We start from the raw sequence: 6,259 nt of genomic DNA on the forward strand, positions 1-6,259 counted from the left end.
AATGGGTTAATATCCAGAATGTACAAAGAATTTGTACTTTTTACTTTTTATCATCCCTGTGGGACCTATGGACGGCTGTGGAATCCATTCCCACTTTCCACACTGCGCTATACACCCTTCCAGCTGGATATATGGTTTGAGGACATGGAGCACTGATGTCCCCACTCACTCTGTGCTGGGACTACAGAAACCACTGAGAGTGATGAAAATATTCTACATTTCGATTGTAAAATCAACTATTGATGCACTCAGACTTTCCATGAGCACACAGACAAAACTGAATTTGAGGGAGAGCTGTAAAAATTTCACTTCTAAGAAAAATCTCTAGGTAATTACCATTGCATTGGTTAATACCCATGCAGGCTCTTTCAGGACAAGCCTGTTTGTGTTTTACTTATTTTGTGTCTTACTTATGTAGGCTCTTTGAGGAGAGGATCATTATGTACCATAGCTTATAATTCTTTACTTATGCCGGGCGCGGTGGCTCACGCCTGTAATCCCAGCACTTTGGGAGGCCGAGGCGGGCGGATCACGAGGTCAGGAGATCGAGAACATCCTGGCTAACGTGGTGAAACCCCGTCTCTACTACAAATACAAAAAATTAGCCGGGCTTAGTGGCGGGCGCCTGTAGTCCCAGCTACTCGGGAGGCTGAGGCAGGAGAATGGCGTGAACCCGGGAGGCGGAGCTTGCAGTGAGCTGAGATCATGCCACTGCACTCCAGCCTGGGGGACAGAGCGAGATGCCGTCTCAAAAACAAAACAAAACAAAAAAAAACTTTACTTGTGATACTCAAATAGTCACTGCTTTTAAAAATTTTTTTTAAACCTTCCCAATTTCTTCTATATGTCTCTTGTATCTGCTTCTTTCACTCAACATAATGCTTTTGTAATTCATCTGTGCTGTAGTGTATATCATTAATTGGTTCCCTTTTATTATTGAGTAGTATTTCATCATATGGCTATCCCACAGTTTGCTTCTCTACTCATCAGTTGATAAACACTTGAGTTATTTCCAGTTTGGGACTATTATAAATAAAGCTGTTATGAACATTTGTGAACAGGTCTTTGTGTCAACATAGGTATCTCATTACAATTTTAATTTATATTTCCCTAATGACCAAAGATGTTGGGCATCTTTTTATGTATATTTGCCATTTGTTTATCTTCTTCGGTGAACTGTCTGTTTAGATATTTTGCCTATTTTTTAAAATTTTGTTGTTTGTCTTTTATTGATTGTAAGAGCTCATATATTCTAGATACAAGAATTTTCAAATACGTATTTTGCAAATATTTTTCTGCCAACCTGTGGCAAGTCATTTTGCTTGCTTAAAAATATTTTTCAAGGACAACAATAAGACACAAAAGACTACTTCCTAAGTGATTCTATATCACATGATTCCATATGAAAATCTAAAAAAGCCAAAACTACACTGATTGATAGACAACAAATCAGAGGCCAGGGGTTGGGGAGGAGATTGATCGCAAGGAGGCATGAGGGAATATTTAAGGGTGATGAAAATGTTCTGTATCATGATTGTGATTGTGGTTGCATGACTGTATAAATTTGTCAAAACTCATAAAGCTGTATAGTTAAAATAGATAATCTTTGGCAGATGTAAATTACAGCACAATAAAACTGATTAAAATTATTTCTCTTCTATATTTGTAAATGTCTTCATATATCAGGATGATACAAAATATTAATTTGGTATTAAACTAAATGCTAAGAAAAGATATCCAATAGCCTTTACATCAATAGAGATGAAATTTATCATAATAAATTTGTTTATTTGAAAGCTTAACAACTTGGCATGGGGTGGAGGGAAAGTTTGACAATATGAAATTTTTGGCAAGTTTAGAATAGGATAAAATAGTCTGGGCTAGAATCTTCCAATCAAAAGGATAATTCAAACTCTCTGAGCTCTGGACGTAACTATTTTCATGATTATACTTTCTTAAAGACCACTGAACTCAGCTAATCTTTCCAGTGCAATAGAAAAGGCCTCCAGCATGATCTTAATAAGGACTTCCTCTTTGACAGGATTTTCCTGTTTTGTTAATTAATGTGTTTATTACTCAACAAAGTAAAGATAATCTCTCAGCTCCCAATCTAAGCATTCAATTGCTCATTGTCACCCATGTTAGAAAAAAAAAAGAAAGTAACCGTCGTTCAAGGTCTGACTGACTTTTAGTGATGAGTTAGGGAATTTTACATCCAGCTCATTCACTCAACTCTAGCTCAGATCAATAGGCAAGTCAGACTGTCTGCATATGTTGACTCTGTGAAAAGCAATATAAAAATCAATTGCTGTTTCCAAGGGATTGGCACTCATTCTGTTTACTTACTCTATTCAGAAATACTTCAGGAAAGATGAATTAAAGTAGTTTTAGAATCTATGACCTTCAGATCTATATGGTAGATAACCTCTCTTCTTCTCCTCTCCCAAGGTAAACATTCTATAGACCTGAAATTCTATCTTTCATTGACTAGTAAAACTCCTGTCTCTTCCCTAATCTAGAATGCATTCCCCTAATATTCTGCATGTGCCCTTTACATATTAGCCATCTATAAGATGATAGGAACACGAAATGTAGTAAATTGCAGATTCTTCCCTCTGAAGCCTCCAGTCTAGGGAAGACCACATGGTTGAAGGTTAAGAACACGGGCCTGAAGCTCATTTATGTGCGTTCAAAGTCTGACTCCATCACTTACTGACCATGGAACCTTGTTTTTTCATCAGCAGACAGATAATAACAGCACTGAAGTTATGTAAAATGTTTAGCACATTAGGTTACTGGCACAAAATAAGTGTTCATTAAATATAAGCTGTTATCAATATCATGTAAAGAAATATAATAATCCTCACCCTCCTGTATCCTCTCTTGGGTTTAGATTCCTTAAAAGAAAAAATGACAAAAAGAATTCACAGCTGTCTTTATAATCTTGGGTACAAGGAGAAGCAAGGGTGTCTGATCATTTCTCCTATAAAAGAGGATTTCAGAGCAGAGAGATGAATTGGGGACTTTGAGTGAGGAAGACGATTGCTGACCTGGAGTTAAAGGTGTGAGGCAAAGGTAACTGATGTCTAAGAACAAGGCAAGGTGACTCCAGGAAGCACAGAACAACTCCACATTGGTGGGTGGAGAGCAAGATTCCATTTAAATCCAAGAGTTTTGAAGAGCAGGCAATCCAAAAGAAACGGTATCATCCTTGAGTGGAACTGAGTAACCAGGGTGAGGAAGCTTTTATATGGGGTGCTAGCAATGGAGCCCTCGGACAGGGAGGATCTGCTCTGGGGGCTGCTCAGTGTTTGGAGGAGGGCACCTAGTTGGAGAGTTTACCTAAGGAACCCTTATGCACATTTGTACGCATTCATTAAAATAAAACCCTTAGGGCCCGGCGCGGTGGCTCAAACCTGTAATCCCAGCACTTTGGGAGGCCGAGGCGGGTGGATCACGAGGTCAGGAGATGGAGACCATCCTGGCTAACACGGTGAAACCCCGTCTGTACTAAAAATACAAAAAATCAGCTGGGCGTGGTGGTGGGCGCCTGTAGTACCAGCTACTCAGGAGGCTGAGGCAGGAGAATGGCTTGAACCCGGGAAGCGGAGCTTGCAGTGAGCTGAGATCATGCCACTGCCCTCCAGCCTGGGTGACAGAGTGAGACTCTGTCTCAAAAAATAAAAATAAAATAAAATAATAAAAAATAAATAAAACCCTTAGGTCAGAACACTGATAACATTAATGGCATGTTGTAGACTTTAAGTTTATAATGGTGTCTGCTGTACTGTTGATTTCCACTCATCAGCCTTTACTCTCTTTGACTTCTTCAGCAAGACACATGCAAATGTATTTTGCATTGTTGCTGATACCATACATGGTACATGGAATGAGGGTGGTATCCAAATGTTCAGTGTACTGCTCATCCATAATTCATGACCTGCTGACTTCTGCTCCGGTCCTGTCGCATGGTCTCACCTTTCTCTTTCTTCCTCATCCTGGCTCCACAGCCTTTCTCACTGAAGTCTTAGCTCCCTTCTCTCCCTCCCTCCCTCCTTCCAAAACCACCTGAAGGTGGTTGTAAGAATCAGAATGAACTACTCCTTTCTCCTGTTTTTTATGTTTTTCAAGATATCTCTGTGCAACCTTTTCTCCTTCTGTGACATTCACTTCTCCTCCCTTTATATTCTGAATGCTCAGTTCTTTGCTCCTCCTTTAAATAATTCCCACAGACTTCACAAATAAAAATTCCTGTGGTCATCAAAAACATACATGAAAGTTAATCCCAGTATACTAGAATTTCATATGAGGGGAATTTAAGGTTAAGAAGGGGTCATGGTAATCAGAATATGGCTAAGGACAAAAACAGAGGTTGGGGGAGGGGGAGGGAGAGAGAGAGAGAGAGAGAGAGAGAGAGACCTTTATTGGAGAACAATGGAGGAGAGAATTAACTCTGCCTGGAAGGGGAATGCAGGCTTCCCAGGAGTCCATCTGAGTAGTTCCCAGGTAGAATAGTAGAGTGAGGAGTTTCAGGCAGAGTAATGGTGTATACAAAGCTTTTCAGTAGAAAGTAGCTCAGCAGGGCTACAGCAGTGTCTATATGTGGGAGATGAAGTTTTAAAAATGAACAGGAAGCCAAATCAAGAAGGACTTTGAAATATCATTTTAATGAGCTTAGATTTTATTTACTTTTAATACTGCAGAATTATGAGAGTCTCTTAGGGAAGAGATTAACATGGTCATGTTTGCATTTTACAAGCAACCCTGTGGAGCCATGTCTGAGACCCAGAGTTGGTAAGGAGGTTAGAGTACATGTTTCCCCCCGCAGATGGAGTCTCACTCTGTCACCCAGGCTGGAGTGCAGTGGCGTGATCTCGGCTTACTGCAACCTCTGCCTCCTGGGTTCAGGCAATTCTCCTGCCTCCACCTCCTGAGTAGCTGGGATTGCAGGCACACACCACCACACCCGGCTAATTTTTGTATTATTATTAGAGACGGGGTTTCACCATGTTGGCCAGGGTGGTTTCGAACTCCTGACCTCATGATCGGCCCGCCTAGAGTACACTTAAAGAGATGTGACCTGGGGAGCCTTAAGGCAATGGACAGTCAGATGAGGAGACAGTGAGAAAGATATTCAGAAAACAGGCTACAGAAATACTTGGGTAGTTAATATTTCATTAGAACTATTAGAGGGGGAAGTTGGCCGGGTGCAGTGGCTCATGTCTGTAATCCTGACACTTTGGGAGGCCGAGGCAGGCAGATCACTTGAGGTCGGGAGTTCAAGATCAGCCTGGCCAACATGGTGAAACCCTGTCTCTACTAAAAATACAAAAATTAGCTAGGCGTGGTGGCGGGCACCTGTAGTCCCAGCTACTCAGGAGGCTGAGGCAGGAGAATCACTTGAACCTGGGAGGCGGAAGCTGCAGTGAACCATGATTGCACTATGCACTACTGCACTCCAGCCTGGGCAACAGAGGGAGACTCTGTCTCAAAAAAAAAAAAAAAAAAAAAAGAACAGAGGTTTCTTGCTTGGAAAATTGGAATTGGAAGGAAAGAGATGTCATTAATTGAGTAAGAGAATAATCAGGGGAAGAAGATTTTGGAGGAAAGATAGTTCAGATTTGGATACATAGAGCTCTAAGGAATATCAACCACTCTGCTGCTTCACAGGCCTCACTCTCTGCAAGTGGTTTAACCATCTAAGATGGGAGTGGGGAAGATGTAGAGATGGCGTAGACTAGAACCTTGCTACTCCAAGTGTGGTCCACAGACCCAGCACAGGCGTCACTCAGGAGCGTGTCAGAAATGCAAAATCTCAGGTGCTACTGCCAACCTGCTGAATTAGAATCTTCATTTTACAAAGATCCTCCTCCCTGCCAATTATCTGTACACTCATTAAAGTGACCTAGGAGCACAAAGACACCTTCACTCATGACGAGAGTCAAGTGGTCCCTGCCATTGCGTCTGCATTTCCATTTCTACATTTTTCTTAGATTGATTCTCCAATTTTTAAATAATTTTCTATTTTCCACCTCTTTGTCTTGTTTTGTTATACTTTCTGAGAAAGTATTTATCTTTTAATTTTCTAGTAATTTGTTTTAAAATGTTGCTATCATTTTAAATTTGAAAACCCCTTTTTTGATTTTTGCTCTTGTTTCGTAGTTGTAACATCATCTAGTAATTTTTAGATAGTTGCTTTTTGATGTTTTCTTGTTTCCTGTATGGGCTCTGTTTTCTCTAAGTTGTTTTTCTCCCATTT

Source organism: Homo sapiens, chromosome 10 (assembly GCF_000001405.40).
Source record: "Homo sapiens chromosome 10, GRCh38.p14 Primary Assembly".
Classification (NCBI taxonomy): Eukaryota; Metazoa; Chordata; class Mammalia; order Primates; family Hominidae; genus Homo; species Homo sapiens.